This window comes from Homo sapiens, chromosome 7, assembly GCF_000001405.40.
Source record: "Homo sapiens chromosome 7, GRCh38.p14 Primary Assembly".
Lineage (NCBI taxonomy): Eukaryota > Metazoa > Chordata > Mammalia > Primates > Hominidae > Homo > Homo sapiens.
The window spans coordinates 87,030,952-87,056,188 of record NC_000007.14 but is presented as its reverse complement, the minus strand read 5'-3'; the positions used below and the strand labels follow the sequence as shown (position 1 = coordinate 87,056,188).

Sequence of the window (25,237 nt, the reverse complement as noted above, 5' to 3'; positions counted from 1 at the left end):
TTTGGGAAGAGTCTACAGTGAGACTCCAGAGGTTCCTAGGATAGGCCCATCCAAGACTTGGCATGACATTTTTGACTCAGTGAATAATAGGACTTAATGGGGCTGCCAGAGCAAAAAAATATAAAGGCCAACAGATAATTCAGAGTTGCAGTAAGGTATCAGAAGATAGAAAAGTACATGAGAGTAAAAAGAACAGAACTAATTGGATTATGTCTGTATTATTTACATTTGGTAAATTAAATCACAAAATAGCTGATTCTTAGTTCACTGCTGTAAAATCTTGCATAATGCAATTCTGCTGTTCTCCCTGACTACTGAATGATGAGTTTTGCTAACAGTTTTTGTTCCACATTCAGTTTATACCATGTGCTAGACAAAATGTCAGATATGAAATTAGTAATTTAAAGAATATAATTTAATTGGATAAGGATGAGACAGATATGTAAACAAACATTGCAGTTAAGTGATTTGAAGCCATGAAAGAAGCAATGGGCCATCATATCTACTGAGGGGGGTGGGATCAGAAAAGGCCCTATGGAGGAAGTGAATGAGACTTAATTGATAAGTAGGAATTTGCCAAGCAGACAAGGGTCAGATGTGAGTGTAGGCTAGTTTGGGGGAAAGACATTTCAGGTGAAGAGCACAGATTGAAAAAGGGCAGAAACATGAAACAGCATTGTATTGTAATTGGTTCTAACTGAAGTACAGCATGCAATGAGAAGCTTAATGAGAGATGAATCTGACAGGCAGGCAGGAGCCTATCATAAGGGACCTTATATCACACTAAGAAGCTGGTCTTCATTTGGTAGGCAATAGGATGCAGTAGTAGGACTTCAAAAAGAGGAGTAGTATGCTTTAGATAGAATTGGCAGTGAGTGGATGCAGAGGGTGAGAGAATGAAATGTTCTAACTTGATTAGAGGATGGTGCCTCTTAACCTCCCTGAGAAGAAATGTGAAGAAGATGGGATAAGGAGCTTGTTCTGTCTGGAAGGAGTGACTTTATGTAGAGCTGTTGAGTAGGCAGTTAGGTATTATTAGGCCCTGTTCCTCAGGGGCATGGTGTGGGCTGGTGTGGTGACCTGGGAATAACTTGAATGGAAGACATTGTTGAAATGACTGGATTGGTTGAGATCATGCAGGGAGTGAGAACAAAGTGCTGAAGATAGGACTTGGGTTTTACCTACATGAAAGGGGACAGAAACCGAGGAGTTCACAAAGGAGACATGTAGCAATGGCTGGTAAAGAAGAAATGTGAGTGTGGAGTTGTGGGAAAAAGAAAAGCCTTTGAAGAAGATAGGGCTCATTGTGTGTCAGTTGCCCGATGAAATCCAAATAAGATGATGACTGAAGAGAGAAGATTGAATTCTGTGATTAGGTCACTGGTGCTCAGCACCAGAGTGTTTCCTATGGGATGGTGGAGATGGGTTGAGTGTTAACTGGGAGGTGAGATGGTGGTGATGGAGTGGAATTGTGTTATAGAGCCTTCCTAGATTTGGTAAGCTACTGGGTCTTCAAAATCCATGTAAACCACAAGACCTGTAATGGTCATGTTTTTTGTTTCAGAACTTGATGGGCACAGCTGAGAAACATCCTTTCTGTAGGAAGTCCCTGAAGGCCATGGGCTATGGGTGAAGCTGTCAAAGGTTCTACAGTCACACTGTTATTGAAGGAGTTAGGACTCAGCCTCTGTTTTCAAGCAGTTAACGTAACTAATCTTTCCTGTTAATGCCTGTGGAGGTGAATTTTCCATTTCCAGTTCTTATGCTTAGAATCATTTCTCATGTTTTAGGCAAATGCGAGCAAGTATTCACACCATCAATATTTACAATGTAAAACCAAGAGTTGACAGATCTGTGAAGTGTCATATTTTAGCACAAGGGATGGAAATAGCAGAGCATAGTATAGAGTGGCACGTTTTCCTATCATAGTGTCTTCTCCAGCAGAGTCTTGCATCTTATAATAATTCTTTATTGTCAGAAAACACTAGCCACATTTTGGTTGCTTTTCTTTTCTCTTGAAGAAACCACAGATTATTCTCTTTCCTTTTTGCCTTTCATCATGTGTGTTCTATGTAGTATTTCAATATTCAATATGTATATATACATATATTTATCATGTACTTATATAGCAGGTATTGACAATGAATGGATGAACAAAACATAGGCCCCTGCTCCATGGAGCTTTGTAATCTCAGGGGAGTAGGTTTAAAACAAAACCACACATCATGCAATTACATTTGCCATAAGTACAGTGACGGAAAATTTCCGTGTGCAGTGAGAATGAATAGCCATCCTAGTTAGGGGCTGGGAGCAGGTGGATTACCAGGAAAAGATGTTTAAGGTAAGATCTAAAGGATGAGTAGGAGTTAGCTGGATGCAGGTTGTGGGTGATGGTGAGAGAACATCTCTCACAGAGGAAGCCTCCTGACCTAGATCCATCCCTATATCCTATCCTTTCCTGGACTAGTAAAAACAAAGGATCTTTTCTCTTCTCTGAATTCTAGTCACAGCCTATTGTTTACTCTCTGACACATATATGCTGTCCCACAAGTGTTTTGCACGCACAGCCCCCCACCCCATATAGATGAATGAGTTGTGCTCTCTCCAAGGGCACCCAGCTAAAGGGGTAAGAAGAAGAATCCACCCATTTCTCAGCATGCTTAGCTATATGTCCTGGCACAGGTCTGCATTTACCTGGAAAAAGGGATACCTTTTTCTAGTTCATATGCCCAGAGGGGGTCACTATTTTCTAAATCACACAAAGGCACCATTTGTTTTACCAGAGGCTTTGAATACACAAATGTTATCTCTCCCCTAGTACATGATATGTTCATTGAGGGCAAGGATTGTATCATCTTATTAGCAAACAGTACTATCTTTCATTTAAGGCATTTTGGGGGTTTTAAAAATGAGTAAGACATATATCCTTTTCTTTGGGAGCACTAATCACTGACTTAAAAATATAGTAAGTGAATAGTTTCTGCTTTTTCAGTTATAAACAGGAATTGATCTTTATGGTACATTTAATTCTAATCAACATATCCTCTTGGTTGTGCCAGATTTAAGACCCTGAAATAAACCCTAGTGGTCAGTTTGGGCGAGGTGGCCCACACCTGTAATCCCAACACTTTGGAAGGCTGAGGTAGGTAAATCACTTGAGCCAAGCAGTTTAAGACCATCCTGGGCAACATAGCAAGACCCTGTCTCTACAAAAAAATAAAAAAATCAGCTGGGCATGGTGGCATGGGCCTGTAGTCCCAGCTACTTGGGATGCTGAGGTGGGAGAATTGATTGAACCTGGGAGGTTGAGGCTGCAGGGAGCTGTGATTGTGCCACTGCACTCCAGTCTGGGTGACAGAGCAAGACCCTGTCTCAAACAAAACAAAACAAAACAAAACAAAACAAAACAAAAGAAAACAAACCCTGTGATCAGAATATACTGAAGTTGATTCTCAACTCAGTTTACAACTCGAGTTGGAAGTACATTTATTACCCTTATTCAAAATGTTGCTTTTATGAGCTCTTTTCTCTAGGTTAGTAGTCCACAAAGTGAGCTCCTAGGACTAGCAGTGTCAACATTAGTTAGGAAGTTGTTAGAAATATAAGTGCTTGGTTCCTGTGCACAACCTACTAAAATGGAAACCCTGGGATTGAAGCCCAGCAAGAACCATTGCGCTCAGTATAAAGAAAGGAATTGATATGGTTTGCCTGTGTTCCCACCCAAATCTCATCTTGAATTCCCATGTGTTGTGGGAGGGACCTGGTGGGAGTTAATTGAATCATGGGGGCAGTTATTTCACATGCTGTTCTCATGATAGTGAATAAGTTTCTTGAGATCCAGTGGTTTCATAAGGGGGAGTTTCCCTGTACAATCTCTCTTCTCTTGTCTGCCGCCATGTGAGATGTGCCTTTCACCTTCCACAATGATTGTGAGGCCTCCCTAGCCACTGAAACTATAGGTCCATTAAATCCCTTTCTTTTGTAAATTGCCCAGCCTTGGGTATGTCTTTATCAGCAGTGTGAAAATGGACCGACACAGGAATACAGTTTAGTTGCCTGAAATCCAGGGACCCATTTCATTGCTAAAATTCCCTAAACTGTCACCCTAGCTTACTTCCTGCTTCTGCAGGGTGTCTTAGAAACTCCTTAAATAATCACATCAAATGGACCATGAGATTCTCTCATTACCATGAAGTACTCCAGCAAGCATTTCTTAATTATCTTTTATATGTCAGGAATTATGCAAGATGCTGGTGATAAAACAGGATTCAGAGAATATTGTCATCATTCTCCAGGAGATCATAGCCTGATAGAAGACACAAATATGGAAATTAATAAAGCACCTCTTTCTGAGATTGACATTAAAATAGAAAAACATGGTAATATTAAGAGAGTATGGTTAGCCTTCTTGGTAAATGTTTTCCAATGTTTGCTACTTATGGGGGAGTGATGTTTACATTTTGGTCCAGCTGCAAAGTTGTGTCTTGTTATAGTACAAGCAGTATTGAAGGTATTTAAGAATCTAATGCAAATGTGAGCCCTGCCACTGGTTTATGTGACCTTCAACAAATTAACCCCTTTAAATCTTTTCTTGTCTGAAAATGGACAGAGTAAAACCTGTCTTATCTATGTTAGAATTGCTGTGAGATCAAGCTAATGCATTTGAAAGCATTTTGTAAATTCTAATGCAGTCGCCAATATCAGTTATTATTCTCATGTAGTGAAGAATAGTGTTTCTCAGGAGGTGCATTGAAGTATGAAAGATCTGGGATATGGGTAGGTAAATTTGTTTACTTACAAAAATATTTTATAGGAGTACTTTTTCTAACTATAAAAGTTATACGTTGTGAAACATTGTACCCAGTTGATTGTTCTGTCATCACTGAAATTTACTTGGCTTCAAGCACCCCAAACTCTCCTGGTTTTTCTCTTAATCCATTGTAATCTCTCTCAGTTTTTGCCAGTTTCTCCTGACATCTTGACATTGCCATGTTCCAGCGATTTATTCTTGGCCCTCCTGTCTTTTCTGTCATCCTTACACTCCTAGTGATGTCGGGAGTCTCTTGGCTTTAAATATCACCTATATGTGGATAGCTCCCAAATTAACACTTCCTTTGTGGACCATCCCCTGGAATCCTATCAAGCATAGCCTTGGTGTCACCACTTGTATAAGTACCTTAAATCTGACAGGTACCAAACTGAACTCCTGACATTTTCCCCAAACCTACTCCTTGTATAGTTTTCTCCATTTCATTGAATGGCAACTCCTTTCTTCTAGTTGCTCATATCTAGAACTCTGCAATCTCCACTGATGTCTTTTCTCCTACATCCTACATCCATCCTATCAGCAAATCCTCTTCCCAATAGCTGAATCAGAACTTCTCACTTCTCCTGTAATTTCTGGGCCATACTACCATTGTATCTTGCCTGGACTATCACTGTAACTTTCCATCTTGATGTCACAGTGCAGCTCAGAGATAGCATTAAAATATAAATTTAAAACTGTTATTCTTTTGTTCAACACCCTTCTAAGGCTTCATTAATACAAGACTGTATTAGGCCGTTCTCGCATTGCTGTAAAAAAAGTACCTGAGATTGGGTACTTTATAAAGAAAAGATGTTTAATTGACTCATGGTTCTGGAGGCTTTATAGGAAGCACAGTGCTGGCAGATGCTGGGCCTCTAGGGAGGCCTCAAGAAGCTTACAGTCATGGTGGAAGGCAAAGGGGGAGCAGGGACATCACATGGTAAAAGCAGGAGCAAGAGTGAGTGGAGGGGCAGGTACCACATATTTTTAGATGACCAGATCTCGATCTCCTGAGAACTCACTATTGCAAAGATAGCACCAAGCCATGAGCAATCCGCCCCCATGATCCAGACACCTCCCACCAGGCCCCATCTTCAGCATTGGGGATTAAAATTCAACATGAGATTTGGGTGGTGACAAATATCCAAACTATATCAAAGGTCCAACCTAATCTGACCTCCATGAAGCCTCTAATGTCACCTCTTATTACTCTCCCTCTTTTAGTTTATTTTGTGCTTCTATAACAGAATACCATAGATTGGGTAAGTTATAATGAACAGTAATTTATTTGCCTCCAGGTTTAGGAGGTAGGAAAGTCCAAGATCCAGGTGAGGGCCTCCTTGCTATGTCGTACCACGGTAAAAGGCCAAGGGCAAGAAAGAAAGAGAGAGAAAGAGAACAAGTGCAAGAGGGAGCCTGAACTCTATTTTATAAGGAACCTATTCCTGCAGTAATGCCATCAGCCATATATGAGGATGGAGCCCTCATGAACCAATACCTCCCATTAGGCCCCACCTCCCAACATCACCACATTTGGGATAAAGTTTCTAACATATCAACCTTCACGGACACATTCAAACCATAGAAGTCCCCATTTTTCATTTTGCATCAGCCAGTCCCAGTCTACTTGTTCTTCCTAGAATGTGTTATGCATGCTCCTTTCTCAAGGCCTCTGTACTGGATCTTTTCTGCCTGGAACTCTCTTCATTCAGGTATTTACTTGGCTTTGTCCCTCATGCACTTCAGGTTTCTACTCAATTGTCATTTTGTCAGTAAGGCTTTCCCTGGCTACCTATTTAAAATTGCAATCCCGGCCAGGCGCCTGTAATCCCAGCACTTTGGGAGGCCGAGGCTGGCGGATCACGAGGTCAGGAGATTGAGAGCATCCTAGCTAACACGGTGAAACCCCGTCTCTACAAAAAAATACAAAAAATTAGCCAGGCATGGTGGCGGGAGCCTGTGGTTCCAGCTGCTCGGGAGGCTGAGGCAGGAGAATGGCGTGAACCCGGGAGGCGGAGCTTGCAGTGAGCCGAGATCAGGACACTGCACTCCAGCCTGGGCGACAGAGCGAGGCTCGGTCTCAAAAAAAAATAAATAAATAAAATAAAATTTCAATCCCTTCCTCTCAATCTACATTTCATGCTTTTGTTTTTCTCTATAGTCCTTTTAGCATCCATAATAATGTATATTTTAATTATTTATTTGGTTTGTATGACTTCACATTCCCTCAATAAATTGTAAGCTTCATATAGATAACAAGACACTACTATATCCCTAGCACATTGAAGAGTGCCTGGCACTTAGTAGATGTTCAATAAATGCTTGTTGAATGAATGTGTAAATTTAATTTTGGGCACATAGGCTGTTTTAAATTTTCTGTTGTATAATCAAAACAGTGTTATAATCAATGTTTGTTATGATCAAAAACAATGCAAAACAGTGTCTGGATTTTTAATTAATTGAGATGATTACTTGTAGCAGAAAAGTTAGATTGAAGGACATAAACTGTATACTCTGGACAACACTGAAAACTGTTACGATCATTACTAATTTGATGGTAAAAATGCTATTTCATTGGGACAATTGACATTTAAACATTTTTTAATTTTTAACTTTTGTGGGTACATAGTAGATATATATGTGGTACACGAGATTGTTTTGATACAGGCATGCAATGTGAAATAATCACATCATGGAGAATGAGTTATCTGTCCCCTCAAGCGTTTATCCTTTGTGTTACAATTAAGTTACACTCCTTCAGTTATTTAAAAATGTACAATTAACTTACTATTTGCTATAGTCACACTGTTGTGGTATCAAATAATAGGACTTATTTATTTTTTCTATTTTTTTGTACCAATTAATTATCCACACCTCCCTCTCCAACCCCCACACTACCTTTCCCAGACTCTGGTAACTGTTCTTCTAATCTCTCTGTCTATGAGTTCACTTGTTTTGATTTTTAGATCAACAAATGAGAACGTGTGATGTGTGTCTTTCTGTGCCTAGCTTATTTCACTTAACACAATTACCTCCAGTTCTATCCATGTTGTTGCAAATGACAGAATCTCATTCTTTTTTTATGTCTGAATAGTACTCCATTGGGTATACATACCACATTTTCTTTTTTTTTTTTTTCTAGATGAAGTCTCACTCTGTCGCCAGGCTGGAGTGCAGTGGTGCAATCTCGGCTCACTGCAACCTCCGCCTCCCAGGTTCAAGCGATTCTCCTGCCTCAGCTTCCCGAGTAGCTGGGACAACAGGTGCTCACCACCATGCCCAGCTAATTTTTGTATTTTTAGTAGAGATTGGGTTTCACCCCGTTGGCCAGGATGGTCTTGATCTCTTGACCTTGTGATCCGCCCACCTCAGCCTCCCAAAGTTCTGGGATTACAGGCATGAGCCACCGCACCCAGCCGTACCACATTTTCTTTATCCATTCATTTGTTGATGGACACTTAGGTTGTTTCCAAATCTTAGCTATTGTGAACAGTTGTGCAACAAACGTCACAATGCAGATATCTCTTTGATATACTGATTTCCTTTCTTTTGAGTCCATAACCAGCAGTGGGATTGCTGGTTTATGTGGTAGCTCTATTTTTAGTTTTGTGAGGAAACATCATACTTTTCTCCACAGTGGTTGCACTAATTTACATTCCCATCAACAGTGTAGAAGTACTCCCTTTTCTCTACATTCTCACCAGCATTTGTTATTGCCTGTCTTTTGGATAGTCATTTTAACTGGGGTGAGATGATATTGTAGTTTTGATTTGCATTTCTCTAATGACTGGTGATATTGAGCACCTTTTCATATGCCTGTTTGCCACATGCATGTCTTCTTTTGAGAAATATCTATTGAAATCCTTTGCCCATTTTTTGACTAGATTATTAGATTTTTTTCCTACAGAGTTGTTTGAGCTCCTTATATATTCTGGTTAGTAATCCCTTGTCAGATGCAAATACTTTCTCCCATTCTGTAGGTTATCTCTTCACTTTGTTTATTGTTTCCTTTGCTATGCAGAAGCTTTTTAACCAGGTGTAATCCCATTTGTCTATTTTTGCTTTGGTTGTCTGTGCTTCTGTGGTATTGCTCAAGAAATTTTTGCCCAGACCAATATCCTGGAGATTTTCCCCAATGTTGTCCTTTAGTAGTTTCTTAGTTTGAAGTCTTCGATTTAAGTTTTAATCCATTTTGATTTGATTTTTGTATACAGTGGGAGATCAAGGTCAGTTTTATTCTTGTGCATATGGATGTCTAGTTTTTCCAGCATCATTTATTGAAGAGACTGTCCTTTCCCCAGTGTATATTCTTGGTACCTTTGTCAAAAATGAGTTCACTCTAGGTGTGTGGATTTGTTTCTGGATTCTCTATTCTGTTCCCATTGGTCTATGTGTCTGTTTTTATGACAGTATCATGCTATTTTGGTTACTATAGCTTTGTAGTATAATTTGAAGTCTGGTAATTTGATTCCTTCAGTTTTGTTCTTTCTGCTTAGGATAGTGTATCAGTTCTTTTCACATTGATATAAAGGACTGCCCAAGACTGGGTAATTTATAAAGGAAAGAGGTTTAATTGACTCACAGCTCCACATGGCTGCAGAGGCCTCAGGAAACTTAACAATCATGGCAGAAGGTGAAGGGGAAGCACATACCTTCACAAGGCAGCAGGAGAGAGAAGAGTGAAGGAGGAACTTCCAAAGACTTATGACATCATCAGATCTCATGAGAATTCACTCACTATCACGAGAATGGGGTGGGGGAAACTGCTCTGAAGATCAAATCACCTCCCTCCCTTGACATGTGGGGACTACAGTTCCCTCCGTCGACACATGGGGATTATAATTTGAAATGAGATTCGAGTGGGGACACAGAGCCAAACTGTATCAGATATCTTTGGCTATTCGGGGTCTTTTGTGGTTTCATATAAATTTTAGTATTGTTTTTCTATTTCTTTGAAGAATATCGTAGGTACTTTGATAGGGATTGCATTAAATCTGTAGATTGCTTTGGGCAGTATGGACATTTAAACAATATTCTTCCAATTCATAAACATGGAATATTTTCCCATTTTTTGGTGGCCTCTTGAATTTCTCTCATCAGGGTTCTATAGTTCTCATTATAGAGATTTTTCACTTCTTTGGTTAAGTTGATTCCTAGGTATTTTATTCATGGCTATTGTAAATGAGATTACTTTTTTTGATTTCTGTTTTGGAGTGTTCACTGTTGACATATAGAAATGCCACTGATTTTTGTATGTTGATTTGTGTATCCTGCAACCTTGTTGAATTTTTTTTATCAGTCCTAATAGTTTTTTGGTGGAGTCTTTAGGTTTTTCCAATATAAGATATGTCATCTGCAAACAAGGATAACTTGACTTCTTCTATTCCAATTTGGATGCCCTTTTTTTCTTTTTCTTATCTGATTGCTCTATCTAGGATTTCCAGTACTATGGTGAATAACAGTGGTGACAGTGGGCATTCTTGTTGTGTTCAAGATCTTAGAGGAAAGGCTTTCAGTTTTTCCCCATTTGGTATGATACTAGCTGTGGACCTGTTTTATATGGCTTTTATTACGTTGAGGTATGTTCCTTTTTTTATATATATTTTTTATTTATTTATTTTTTATTATACTTTAAGTTTTAGGGTACATGTGCACATTGTGCAGGTTAGTTACATATGTATACATGTGCCATGCTGGTGCGCTGCACCCACTAACTCGTCATCTAGCATTAGGTATATCTCCCAATGCTATCCCTCCCTCCTCCCCCCACCCCACAACAGCCCCCAGAGTGTGATATTCCCCTTCCTGTGTCCATGTGATCTCACTGTTCAATTCCCACCTATGAGTGAGAATATGTGGTGTTTGGTTTTTTGTTCTTGCGATAGTTTACTGAGAATGATGATTTCCAATTTCATCCATGTCCCTACAAAGGACACGAACTCATCATTTTTAATGGCTGCATAGTATTCCATGGTGTATATGTGCCACATTTTCTTAATCCAGTCTATCATTGTTGGGCATTTGGGTTGGTTCCAAGTCTTTGCTATTGTCAATAATGCCGCAATAAACATACGTGTGCATGTGTCTTTATAGCAGCATGATTTATAGTCCTTTGGGTATATACCCAGTAATGGGATGGCTGGGTCAAATGGTATTTCTAGTTCTAGATCCCTGAGGAATCGCCACACTGACTTCCACAATGGTTGAACTAGTTTACAGTCCCACCAACAGTGTAAAAGTGTTCCTATTTCTCCACATCCTCTCCAGCACCTGTTGTTTCCTGACTTTTTAATGATTGCCATTCTAACTGGTGTGAGATGGTATCTCATTGTGGTTTTGATTTGCATTTCTCTGATGGCCAGTGATGGTGAGCATTTTTTCATGTGTTTTTTGGCTGCATAAATGTGTTCTTTTGAGAAGTGTCTGTTCATGTCCTTCGCCCACTTTTTGATGGGGTTGTTTGTTTTTTTCTTGTAGATTTGTTTGAGTTCATTGTAGATTCTGGATATTAGCCCTTTGTCAGATGAGTAGGTTGTGAAAATTTTCTCCCATTTTGTAGGTTGCCTGTTCACTCTGATGGTAGTTTCTTTTGCTGTGCAGAAGCTGTTTAGTTTAATTAGATCCCGTTTGTCAATTTTGGCTTTTGTTGCCATTGCTTTTGGTGTTTTAGACATGAAGTCCTTGCCCGTGCCTATGTCCTGAATGGTAATGCCTAGGTTTTCTTCTAGGGTTTTTATGGTGTTAGGTCCAACATTTAAGTCTTTAATCCATCTTGAATTGATTTTTGTATAAGGTGTAAGGAAGGGATCCAGTTTCAGCTTTCTACATATGGCTAGCCAGTTTTCCCAGCACCATTTATTAAATAGGGAATCCTTTCCCCATTGCTTGTTTTTCTCAGGTTTGTCAAAGATCAGATAGTTGTAGATATGCGGCGTTATTTCTGAGGGCTCTGTTCTGTTCCATTGATCTATATCTCTGTTTTGGTACCAGTACCATGCTGTTTTGGTTACTGTAGCCTTGTAGTATAGTTTGAAGTCAGGTAGTGTGATGCCTCCAGCTTTGTTCTTTTGGCTTAGGATTGACTTGGCGATGCGGGCTCTTTTTTGGTTCCATATGAACTTTAAAGTAGTTTTTTCCAATTCTGTGAAGAAAGTCATTGGTAGCTTGATGGGGATGGCATTGAATCTGTAAATTGCCTTGGGCAGTATGGCCATTTTCACGATATTGATTCTTCCTACCCATGAGCATGGAATGTTCTTCCATTTGTTTGTATCCTCTTTTATTTCCTTGAGCAGTGGTTTGTAGTTCTCCTTGAAGAGGTCCTTCACATCCCTTGTAAGTTGGATTCCTAGGTATTTTATTCTCTTTGAAGCAATTGTGAATGGGAGTTCACTCATGATTTGGCTCTCTGTCTGTTGTTGGTGTATAAGAATGCTTGTGATTTTTGTACACTGATTTTGTATCCTGAGACTTCGCTGAAGTTGCTTATCAGCTTAAGGAGATTTTGGGCTGAGACAATGGGGTTTTCTAGATATACAGTCATGTCGTCTGCAAACAGGGACAATTTGACTTCCTCTTTTCCTAATTGAATACCCTTTATTTCCTTCTCCTGCCTGATTGCCCTGGCCAGAACTTCCAGCACTATGTTGAATAGGAGTGGAGAGAGGGCATCCCTGTCTTGTGCCAGTTTTCAAAGGGAATGCTTCCAGTTTTTGCCCATTCAGTATGATATTGGCTGTGGGTTTGTCATAGATAGCTCTTATTATTTTGAAATACGTCCCATCAATACCTAATTTATTGAGAGTTTTTAGCATGAAGGGTTGTTGAATTTTGTCAAAGGCTTTTTCTGCATCTATTGAGATAATCATGTGGTTTTTGTCTTTGGCTCTGTTTATATGCTGGATTATATTTATTGATTTGCGTATATTGAACCAGCCTTGCATCCCAGGAATGAAGCCCACTTGATCATGGTGGATAAGCTTTTTGATGTGCTGCTGGATTCGGTTTGCCAGTATTTTATTGAGGATTTTTGCATCAATGTTCATCAAGGATATTGGTCTAAAATTCTCTTTTTTTGTTGTGTCTCTGCCTGACTTTGGTATCAGAATGATGCTGGCCTCATAAAATGAGTTAGGGAGGATTCCCTCTTTTTCTATTGATTGGAATAGTTTCAGAAGGAATGGTACCAGTTCCTCCTTGTACCTCTGGTAGAATTCGGCTGTGAATCCATCTGGTCCTGGACTCTTTTTCGTTGGTAAGCTATTGATTATTGCCACAATTTCAGCTCCTGTTATTGGTCTATTCAGAGATTCAACTTCTTCCTGGTTTAGTGTTGGGAGAGTGTATGTGTCAAGGAATTTATCCATTTCTTCTAGATTTTCTAGTTTATTTGTGTAGAGGTGTTTGTAGTATTCACTGATGGTAGTTTGTATTTCTGTGGGATCGGTGGTGATATCCCCTTTATCATTTTTTATTGCGTCTATTTGATTCCTCTCTCTTTTTGTCTTTATTAGTCTTTCTAGTGGTCATTCAATTTTGTTGATCCTTTCAAAAAACCAGCTCCTGGATTCATTAATTTTTTGAAGGGTTTTTTGTGTCTCTATTTCCTTCAGTTCTGCTCTGATTTTAGTTATTTCTTGCCTTCTGCTAGCTTTTCAATGTGTTTGCTCTTGCTTTTCTAGTTGTTTTAATTGTGATGTTAGGGTGCCAATTTTGGATCTTTCCTGCTTTCTCTTGTGGGCATTTAGTGCTGTAAATTTCCCTCTACACACTGCTTTGAATGCATCCCAGAGATTCTGGTATGTTGTGTCTTTGTTCTCGTTGGTTTCAAAGAACATCTTTATTTCTGCCTTCATTTCGTTATGTACCCAGTAGTCATTCAGGAGCAGGTTGTTCAATTTCCATGTAGTTGAGCGGTTTTGAGTGAGATTCTCATCCTGAGTTCTAGTTTGATTGCACTGTGGTCTGAGAGATAGTTTGTTATAATTTCTGTTCTTTTACATTTGCTGAGGAGAGCTTTACTTCCAAGTATGTGGTCAATTTTGGAATAGGTGTGGTGTGGTGCTGAAAAAAATGTATATTCTGTTGACTTGGGGTGGAGAGTTCTGTAGATGTCTATTAGGTCCACTTGGTGCAGAGCTGAGTTCAATTCCTGGGTATCCTTGTTGACTTTCTGTCTCATTGATCTGTCTAATGTTGACAGTGGGGTGTTAAAGTCTCCCATTATTAATGTGTGGGAGTCTAAGTCTCTTTGTAGGTCACTCAGGACTTGCTTTATGAATCTTGGTGCTCCTGTATTGGGTGCATATATATTTAGGATAGTTAGCTCTTCTTGTTGAATTGATCCCTTTACCATTATGTAATGGCCTTCTTTGTCTCTTTTGATCTTTGTTGGTTTAAAGTCTGTTTTATCAGAGACTAGGATTGCAACCCCTGCCATTTTTGTCTTCCATTTGCTTGGTAGATCTTCCTCCATCCTTTTATTTTGAGCCTATGTGTGTCTCTGCACGTGAGATGGGTTTCCTGAATACAGCACACTGATGGGTCTTGACTCTTTATCCAGTTTGCCAGTCTGTGTCTTTTAATTAGAGCATTTAGTCCATTTACGTTTAAAGTTAATATTGTTATGTGTGAATTTGATCCTGTCATGATGATGTTAGCTGGTTATTTTGCTCGTTAGTTGATGCAGTTTCTTCCTAGTCTCGATGGTCTTTACATTTTGGCATGATTTTGCAGCGGCTGGTACCAGTTGTTCCTTTTCATATTTAGTGCTTCCTTCAGGAGCTCTTTTAGGGCAGGCCTGGTGGTTACAAAATCTCTCAGCATTTGCTTGTCTGTAAAGTATTTTATTTCTCCTTCGCTTATGAAGTAGTTTGGCTGGATATGAAATTCTGGGTTGAAAATTCTTTTCTTTAAGAATGTTGAATATTGGCCCCCACTCTCTTCTGGCTCGTAGGGTTTATGCCGAGAGATCCGCTGTTAGTCTGATGGGCTTCCCTTTAAGGGTAACCAGACCTTTCTCTCTGGCTGCCCTTAACATTTTTTCCTTCATTTCAACTTTGGTGAATCTGACAATTATGTGTCTTGGAGTTGCTCTTCTCGAGGAGTATCTTTGTGGCGTTCTCTGTATTTCCTGAATCTGAACGTTGGCCTGCCTTGCTAGATTGGGGAAGTTCTCCTGGATAACATCCTGCAACGTGTTTTCCAACTTGGTTCCATTCTGCCCATCCCTTTCAGGTACACCAATCAGACATAGATTTGGTCTTTTCACATAATCCCATATTTCTTGGAGGCTTTGCTCATTTCTTTTTATTCTTTTTTCTCTAAACTTCCCTTCTCCCTTCATTTCATTCATTTCATCTTCCATCGCTGATACCCTTTCTTCCAGTTGATCGCATCGGCTCCTGAGGCTTCTCCATTCTTCACGTAGTTCTTGAGCCTTGGTTTTCAGCTCCATCAGCTCCTTTAAGCACTTCTCTGTATTGGTTATTCTAGTTATACATTCTTCTAAATTTTTTTCAAAGTTTTCAACTTCTTTGCCTTTGGTTTGAATGTCCTCCCGTAGCTCAGAGTAATTTGATTGTCTGAAGCCTTCTTCTCTCAACTCGTCAAAGTCATTCTCCATCCAGCTTTGTTCCGTTGCTGGTGAGGAACTGCGTTCCTTTGGAGGAGGAGAGGCGCTCTGCTTTTTAGAGTTTCCAGCTGTTCTGTTCTGTTTTTTCCCCTCTTTGTGGTTTTATCTACTTTTGGTCTTTGATGATGGTGATGTACAGATGGGTTTTTGGTGTGGATGTCCTTTCTGTTTGTTAGTTTTCCTTCTAACAGACAGGACCCTCAGCTGCAGGTCTGTTGGAATACCCTGCAGTGTGAGGTGTCAGTGTGCCCCTGCTGGGGGGTGCCTCCCAGTTAGGTTGCTCGGGGGTCAGGGACCCACTTGAGGAGGCAGTCTGCCCATTCTCAGATCTCCAGCTGCGTGCTGGGAGAACCACTGCTCTCTTCAAAGCTGTCAGACAGGGACATTTAAGTCTGCAGAGGTTACTGCTGTCTTTTTGTTTGTCTGTGCCCTGCCCCCAGAGGTGGAGCCTGCAGAGGCAGGCAGGCCTCCTTGAGCTGTGGTGGGCTCCACCCAGTTCGAGCTTTCCGGCTGCTTTGTTTACCTAAGCAAGCCTGGGCAATGGCGGGCGCCTCTCCCCCAGCCTCGCTGCCGCCTTGCAGTTTGATCTCAGACTGCTGTGCTAGCAATCAGCGAGACTCCGTGGGCGTAGGACCCTCCGAGCCAGGTGCGGGATATAATCTTGTGGTGCGCCGTGTTTTAAGCCCGTCGGAAAAGCGCAGTATTCGAGTGGGAGTGACCCGATTTTCCAGGTGCCGTCCGTCACCCCTTTCTTTGACTAGGAAAGGGAACTCCCTGACCCCTTGCGCTTCCCGAGTGAGGCAATGCCTCACCCTGCTTTGGCTCGTGCACGGTGCGCGCACCCACTGACCTGCGCCCTCTGTCTGGCACTCCCTAGTGAGATGAACCCGGTACCTCAGATGGAAATGCAGAAATCACCCGTCTTCTGCGTCGCTCACGCTGGGAGCTGTAGACCAGAGCTGTTCCTATTCGGCCATCTTGGCTCCTCCCTCGGTATGTTCCTTCTATACCTAGTTTTTAAATTTTTTTTTATCATAAAGGGATGTTGAAATTTATTAAATGCTTTTTCAGCATCAATTGAAATGATCTTGTAGCTTTTATCCTTCATTCTGTTGATCCAATGTATCACATTGATTTATTTGCGTATGTTGAATTATCCTTGCATCCCAGGGATAAATCTCACTTGGTCATGATGAATGATCCTTCTAATGTGTTGTTGAATTCATTTTGCTAGTATTTTGTTGAGGATTTTTACATCAGTATTCGTCAGAGATATTGGCCTGTAGTTTTTTTTATTATGTGTCTTTGTCTGGTTTTGGTATCAGGGTAATATTAGCCTTGTAGAATGAGTTTGGAAGTATTCTCTCCTCTTGGGTTTTCAGAATAGCTTGAGTTGGACCGAGATTAGTTCTTCTTGAAATGTTTGGTAGGATTCAGCAGTGAAGCCATTGGGTCCCAGGCTTTTCTTTACTGGGAGACTTTTTATTGTGGCTTTGATTTCATTGGTATTGGTCTGTTCAGGTTTTGGACTTCTTCCTGGTTTAGTCTCGGTAGGTTGTATGAGTCTAGGAATTAGTCCACTTCTTTTAGGTTTTCCAGTTGGTTGGCGTATAGTTACTCATAGTAGCCTCTAATGATCCTTTGCATTTCTGCAGTATCAGTTGTAATGTCTTCTTTTTCATTTCTGATTTTATTTATTTGTATCTTCTTTTTTTCTTAGTCTAGCTAAAGTTTTGTCAATTTTGTTTAACTTTTCAAAAAACTAACTTTTTGTTTCATTGATCGTTTGTATTTTCTTCATTTCATTTATTTCTGTGATTTTTATTATTTTCTATTAATTTTGGGTTTGGTTTGCTCTTGCTTTTCTGGTTCATTAAGATACATCATTAGATTGTTTATTTAAAGTTTTTTTTCTTTTTTGATGTAGACACTTATAGCTATAAACTTCCCTCTTAATACTGCTTTTGTTGTATCCCATAAGTTTTGGTATGTTGTGTTTCCATTACCATTTGTTTCAAGGAATTTTTCAATTTTCTTCTCAATTTCTTCATTGACCCACTGGTCATTCAGGAGCATATTGTTTAATTTTCATGTATTTGTATAGTTTCCAAAATTGCTCTTATTATTAATTTCTAGTTTTATTCCACTGTGGCCAGAGAAGCTGCTTGATATTGTTTCAGTCTTTTGAATGTATTAAGACTTATTTTGTGACCTAACATGTGCATTTCTTTAATCACTCATGAAGGTCAATATTTTTCGTGTCACTTAGCTTTTTGTATTTCACTTTTTGTGAGATTTCCTATTTAGGTGTTTGCATCGTTATGTATACAAGCTTTTAGTATAATAAGGATAATATATATTTCCCTAGACTTTTTCTTATCTGTGTGTTTTGAGATATGTAATATCCAGAGAAAGCAATTATTTAGTCCCTAAAAAGGTATATGGAATTACCTCCCTTAACATATCAAACTGTAATACATCTTAATTTCCAAAAAGAATGTTTGGTACATAATACCTTATTAAATCATTACAATATATGAAGGCTTTCAGGTGTTTGAGAAAAATATGGAAGCAGCTACAAAGTGACCAAGAATTCTTGCACTTGGATTGGTATTCTTGGTTCTAAGAGTGTGTTTTAGATATTTCATGACTATTCATTCTCTGTTACTTCTTTTTCAGTTGCCATTCATATGTTTATTAGCTCATCTAGCATGTATCTCACAGGAAAAAATTATAGGATAGTCTATGATGATAGTACAGATGGGTTAAGTGCTGTGATGGAGTCATTCACAGGGCTGTATAGAAGCACAGAGAAGAGGCAACTAAATCAGACTAAAGAAACTCTGGTGTCAGAGCAAGTGATGTTTCAGCTGAGTTTGGAAGGATTTATAGTAGTGCTTTACAGGATGCACAGAGACCACCACATCTCAGTCAAAGAAAATAACATGTATAACATCAAAGAGGAATTAAATAATATTATAATTTCAAGGGCCAACTTGAAGGGCACGTGGGTGGTGGTGGCAGAAGTGTCAGAGACTGAAGGTCTTGCGAGGCAAGCTATGAAGCGCTATTAACATCAAATTAGAAAGATTATTCTGTTGGCAAATGAAGGAACATAAAAGGGAAATCACATTGGACGCAGGAAGATCAGTTAGGAGACTCTTGCCTCTCTCACGGGGAGAAAATAACTAACAGAACTAAACACATGACAGTATGAATGGAGAGGGAGAGAATAGATGGATTTTACAGCTATTAAAGACATCTTATTTTCAGGAGTCTGCAACCGAGTGATACATTTCAGTCTACCATGACTTATAAGTTTTTGGTCTGAGTAGATGCTGCTGTCTTTTATTGAGATAAAAAAATTGAGAGAAGGAAAAGGAGGAGGTGGTGGTGGGGGCGGGAAATAGGATGAGTTCAGCATTGGACATCCTGAGTTTATAGTACCCTGGGCACACACAAACAGTGCTCTCCTGAAGACAGGTGGATGTACAGGAGTGCAGCTGAGAGACAACTTGGGAGCCATGAGTACATAAGAGGTAATTGAAGCCATTGATGTTGATGAGGTCACTTAGGCTCTGAGCATATAGCAAGAGCACTGTGTTGAGGAGAGTGCTTAGGGAAACAACAGCATTTAAGAAGCAAGCAGAGTGAGAAGCATTTGAGGATGAAACTGAGAAGGTACAGCCAGTAGAGAAGGATTAGCATTAGCACAGAAGCAGACTGGAGGTTGATGGGAAGGAGACCCGTAAATCTGGAGTATGATATAGGCAGGGTGATTTTTAATATTCAGGGTGTTTTCTTATTTTAATTTTTCAACTTTTAGATTGGGGTACATTTGTACGTTTGTTATCTGGGCATATTGTATGATGCTGAGGTTTGGGATATGAATGATCCCATCACCCAGGTACTGACCATAGTACCCAACAGTTTTTCAACCCTTGCCCCTGCTTTTCCCTTTCCTTTCTAATAGTCTGTAGTGTCTATTGTTGCCATCTTTAATTCCATGAGTACCCAATGTTTAGCTGCCATTTATAAGTAAGAACATACGGTATTTGGTTTTCTGTTCCAGTGTTACTTTGCTTAGGAAAATAGCCTCCAGCTACATCCATGTTTATGCAAAATACATGATTTTGTTGTTTTTTATGGCTCTATAGTATTCCATGGGGTATATGTACCACATTTTCTTTATCTAATCCACCAATGATGGTCACCTAGCTTGCTTCCATGACTTTGCTATTGTGAATAGTTCAGCAAACCCTTTTTAAAGATAGGGTCTCCTTGTCACTCAGGCTGGAGTGCAGTGGTACAATAACAGCTCACATAGTTTTGACCTCCCAGAGCTCCAGTGATCCTCCAACCTCAGCCTCCCGAGTAGTTGGGACTACAGGCACATGCTTCCATGCCTTGCTAATTTTTGTATTATTATTATTATTTTGTATAGACAGGGTTTCACCCTGTTGCCCAGGCTGGTCTTGAACTCCTGGTCTCAAGTAATCATCCCACCTCAGCCTCCCAAAGTACTGGGATTGCAGGTGTGAGGCACCATGCTTGGCCTACAGTGAGACATTTGAATTGTCATATCATTATTGACAAAATGCATAGTATATGATGAATGACGGAATATTAGGCAGATTCCTGGCTATTTGAACAAATGTATACTAAGATTATTAATGTATGTGATGCTAAACTGAAAGAACATCTCCAATGCAATACTTTTGTGCTTAATATCTAATTTCTGTCCTTTTACTGTTTTACTATTACCATTTTAAATAATACTTGGGTTTTGAGACGGCATAACCAAATTTTGTAAAGTCAGAAAGCTGAGAAGGATTCCTAATGAGTTGGAAAACAGAATTGGGATTCAAAATGATTTCAAAAGGCTAGAATAATGGGCAATCCAACATAATTGATTTAAATGTAGACTGTTCTTTTCTGGTTCTGAAAATCAGATGTTCAAGCATAGAATGGGAAAATTTTACTTAAAAGTACTTCTGAAGCCATAGCTGTCATATGGCTGCAAAAGCAATGATGGAGGGTCTTGAGTTCTGTTTATATGAGAAGAATGCCTTGTTTGTGGAAGGTAGACATTTATATTAGGTCATTAGTTCAACTTAGATGCAATATTTGAAGAGGGATATTGACAAAGGGTGACATTGGCTTGAGATGTGAATTAGGAAGATTAGTTATTTGGAAAGTACGTCACGGGAAACTAACCAAAGGAAATGGGGTTGTTTAGCTTAGAGTAGACTTGAGGGGGCCATGACATGAGCTTCAAATATATTAAGTGCAGTCATAATGCTATAATTGCTATAATGCTCATTTAGAGGACAAGATTTGGATTAGCGGGTAGTAGACAAAAGGATGCAGAATTTAGTTCATCTTAGAAGGTGTTTTACATATGCAGAAGCCATGAGCTTTGTCTTTATACTCTGAAAATTGCAGAGCTGCTTCTTTGGATGGATTGCAAACCTAGGTTCCATGTGTAGGAGCCATGAGTTCTAATTTACTGAACTTTGACAATTTCACTATGCTGGATTTAAGGGGCAGTTCAATGACTGCTCAGGGGTATATCCATACCTACTGTAACTGGTGAGAAGATAAATATTTGACCTTGATGCATTAGTCGTAGCTAGCACACAATTTTTTTTTTTTTTTTTTGAGACGGAGTTTCACTCTTTTTTGTCCAGGCTGGAGTGTAGTGGTGCTATCTTGGCTCACTGGAACCTCTGCCTCCCTGCTTCAAGCTTCAAACAATTCTGCCTCAGCCTCCTGAGTAGCTGGGATTACAGGCACACGCCACCATGTCCGGCTAATTTTGTATTTTTAGTAGAGACGGGGTTTCACCATGTTGGCCAGGTTGGTCTCGAATTCCTGACCTTAGGTGATCCAGCCGCCTTGGCCTCCCAAAGTGCTTGGATTACAGTCGTGAGCCACTGCGCCTGGCCACACACATTCTTATTCTGTCTTACTTAGCACTTTATTCTAAGAATGCTACAGTGTAAAAACACAGTGCCCTTTGGTGTTTAACCCTACCTCCTAACGTTAAGAGCAGAAAGAACTGACCCTTGAAAATGTAATGCAGACTTCTACTTGATAATTCTTAGGCATATAAATAATGCATAGCAGGAAATAACTTGAACCAAAATAATAATTGATGCTTAAACATATCTGAGCCTGTTATGCTAGGAAAGTGCTTCCCTATCTAAAGAGCAGATAAATATTAAGATCATTTACTTGAGGTTTTTTTTTAATGATCTCATTTTTTTCTACATTTGTCACCTTTTAAAGTTAAAAGCAATATATGCATTCCAGAAAAATGCAGCAATAAAAACACCCATAATCTCACTAAATAAGCATGCCACTTTTAACATCTTAGTATTTGTAATATGAATAATAAATAATAACAATAGCCAGGTAAAATTTTAAGTGCATTTTTATTTATTAACTCACTCATCTCCCTAACTCTAATTGGTAAGCTTGAACCGCCGCATCTTCTCCCCATGTTTAAGTTACTTGTGAATCCAAGCTGCTACACCAGGGCCCATACTTTTCACCATCAGACTATACTGCCTCTATTACATATATCAAAAGTCCTTTGCATGTATTTCATTATCAGTGTACACATATGGTTACAAAATGGTAATATTATGTACATATAGTTTGGTAATGTTTTTTGGCATTTAAAAATATGACATGAACTTACTCCCCTATTTTGATTCCTCAAGAATTTTATTAAGTACTTGATATGTCTCTGACTTTGTTCCCTGAATAACCAGTTTTTACAAATAGTGTTTTGAACAATCCATAATTCATCCTTTTTCTGTTGGTCTGTTTTCTATACCATCTATTGTGTATGTGGATATATAAAAATTTATAAGCTATTGTTTTATATATAATATGTGCTATATTATATATATGCACATTTATTCAATTTCTTTTGAGCTATTTTCTACACTATTGATTTTTTTTGTACAGATTGCAGAGTTTTATAATATAGTTTTATATGGTGGCACTTAATTTTCTTTCATTCTCAGCTGTTCTCACTTATTTAGTCTTTCAGTTCAACTTCAGAATAATTTTGAAAAGTTAAAAATTTTTTTTGGATTCTCTTAAGTTCGCCCATTTATTTGGAAAAAATGTCATATTTTTAGTATTATCTTCACATTTAAAGACATACAGTCTGTTTTAGCATTTATTGAGGCATTCTGTATTTCTCACTAGCACAATCTTTGTATTCTGAACTATTTTATGTTACTATTTTCCATGACATTTTTCTGCCAACCACTTTACCTTTTAATTGATTTTTCCCTGATATGTTGAAAAGCCACTGGTTTTTAGAAATTAATTGTGTATCTAGTTTCTTACAGGGCTGTCTTATTAATTCTAACGTTTTGTCAGTTAATTATCTTCGATTTTTTTGATAACAAGTTCCATTTATTGAGTAGTTAATGTGTGAAACACTTTTCTCACAGAAGTCCATGCCTCTGCTTTCAGAGATGAAGAAACTGAAGCTCAAAGGCAATTAATAACTTACAAAAGATGACAAAGCTAGTGAGCCATAAAGCTGGGATAGATTTGTCTCCAGAGAGCTCACTTTCCACTGAACTCCACTACCTCCCACTCTGCCTACACAGAACTGATCTATTATGCTTACAGCTCTCCATGACTGATTCTTAGAGGCTATTGATCGAATCTTATTAGGTGTACCAGGCAGCTATTTACAGTTTTTCCCAGTAGCCAATCATTTTCACATGATTTCTTTTTTTCAAGGTAGAGATCCTTTTCTCATGTGTTTCAGAAATCTTTCGTCTCCTCCAAGGTAGATGTTAATTCCACATTTTCACAAGGAAAGCTTTATGTACTGCTGTGTTTTACTCACACACAAGGTGTGTAGGTAGCCACTGGTCCTCCTGTCTTGATAGCATGTCTGTGCAGAGTTCCTAGTCCAGTTTCTGTTGTCTGAGAAACTTCCTTTTTATGCTATGCTGATGAACTTTGAGGATCTCATTCTGTCTATTAGATTCTCGATTAGGAGAATGTTTTAAAGAAACAGAGCTGTCTGTGGTTCTTCTATGTGAAGAAGCACATGATAGGTACTGGACCTAGGGCATTTTCTGCCTCTGTTTTTATCTGTACATTTCTGGGAGTGAAGGATGTACGTGAAGAGGTGAGAGTGAGATTTGTTAGTCTGATGTCATCTTAAACCAGAAATCTGTAAAACTTCAAAAACAGATGGCCTTTTTCTGTTGTTGGAAAACTATATTCCAAAGAAAATTCAGAATAAAAATTGATGGACAAATTGATGTGTAATTCTGTCATTTTACATCTTTTTGTTTTTGTTCTCTTCCTTACACCTCTTTCTTTTAAGACTTATCAGTTAATATGGCTCAGGCATTGCTGTAAGTGTTTTACAGATATTAGCCCACTTAATAGCAATCATTTGTTATTAGTTCATTCATCATTCATAAGCAAATGATGCTGCTTTAAAGTGATATTCAGACATTTTATATAGAAGTTAAATCATTGCCTCAATCTTTAAACAAATCTTTATGGAAGCTTAATTGAAGTGCACTCAGATACATATATTTGAAGTATATAAATTGATCAGTTTTGACATATGTAAGCACTCATGAAACTATTGTCATAATCAAGATAGTCATTTTCAACATCCCCAAAAGTTTCCTGTTTCTCTTTGTAATCTAACCCTTCCTCCACTCTGTCCCTAGGCAGCCACTGATCTGCTGTCACTACAGATTCAGTTGCATTTTATAGAATTTTAGATAAGTGGAATTGTATGGCATGTACTCTTTTTTGGGTGGGGGGCTGTCTTCTTTCACTTAGCATAATGATTTTTGAGGTTTATTCACATTGTGGTGTGTATCAAGTTTGTTCCTTTCTGCTGAGTAGTAGTCTACTATATGGCTATACACAATTTGTTATTTAATATACCTATTTTTAACATAATATAGTTGTAATCATAGCACTTGATATTCTTAAGCTCCAATAAGATAATGTAATCTATGATCATTAAATACTAACTAGTGAGTACTCCAGTAAGTTCTTTATAAAATTTAGCCGCAGCAGTCTAAACATGTAAGTGTAAGTACTAAAGGATTTTTGGCATTCTGAGATATTCCTGTAGGTGATTCTTTGTTTCATTCAGTATTTAACGCTGTTCTGATAAATCTTGATTTTTGGAGCTAACCATTCAGTTAGTCTATTAGATGTGCCTGCTGTTAGAACTATTAATATTTTCACTTACTTGCCTGTCTGTAGATCATTTAACTATCAATTAATGAATGCATGTCTCTGGGAGTGCAGGTGAGAAATGTGGATCTCATGCCACTCATTCAGAGGCTAAAATGAGGACTTTGTTTAGTTCATGGTAATGAGCATTGACATACTGTATGGAAATGAAAACAGTCTTTGTGTGTGTTCAGTTGGATGAACAATTAAATATATTCATTCCTAATTGAAATTATGTTTCTATTGTTAAAGAAAAACTGAGAGGAGTTAAATTTAACATTTGAGCAAGAAAAAAGTTCTAGAACCAGACAGCATTCCTGATGAAGGTGGTGATATGGTTTTTCTGTGTCCCCACCCAAATCCCATCTTGAATTGTAGCTCCCATAATTCCCACATGTTGTGGGAGGGACCAGGTGGGAGATAATTGAATCATGGGGGTGGTTTCCCCATACTGTTCTCGTGGTAGTGAATAAGTCTCATGCGATCTGATGGTTTTATAAGGGGAAACCCCTTTCACTTGACTCTCATTCTCTCTTGTCTGCCACCAT

The 25,237-nt window shown here is 38.9% G+C and overlaps 1 protein-coding gene across 7 annotated transcripts in view; it reads left to right on the top strand.

Annotated features, from left to right (window-relative positions):
- ELAPOR2 (endosome-lysosome associated apoptosis and autophagy regulator family member 2) overlaps positions 1 to 25,237 on the top strand; it is a 182,749-nt gene that overhangs the window by 3,466 nt on the left and 154,046 nt on the right. For 2 of the 7 annotated variants that reach the window (NM_001291991.2, NM_001291990.1), the window contains exon 1: positions 15,955 to 16,086. The exons of the other annotated variants lie outside the window; for them this stretch is intronic. The gene's annotated coding sequence lies outside the window, so the exon portion shown is untranslated. Of the gene's footprint in view, positions 1 to 15,954; positions 16,087 to 25,237 lie in introns of those variants that run through there. 7 annotated transcript variants of the gene reach the window in all.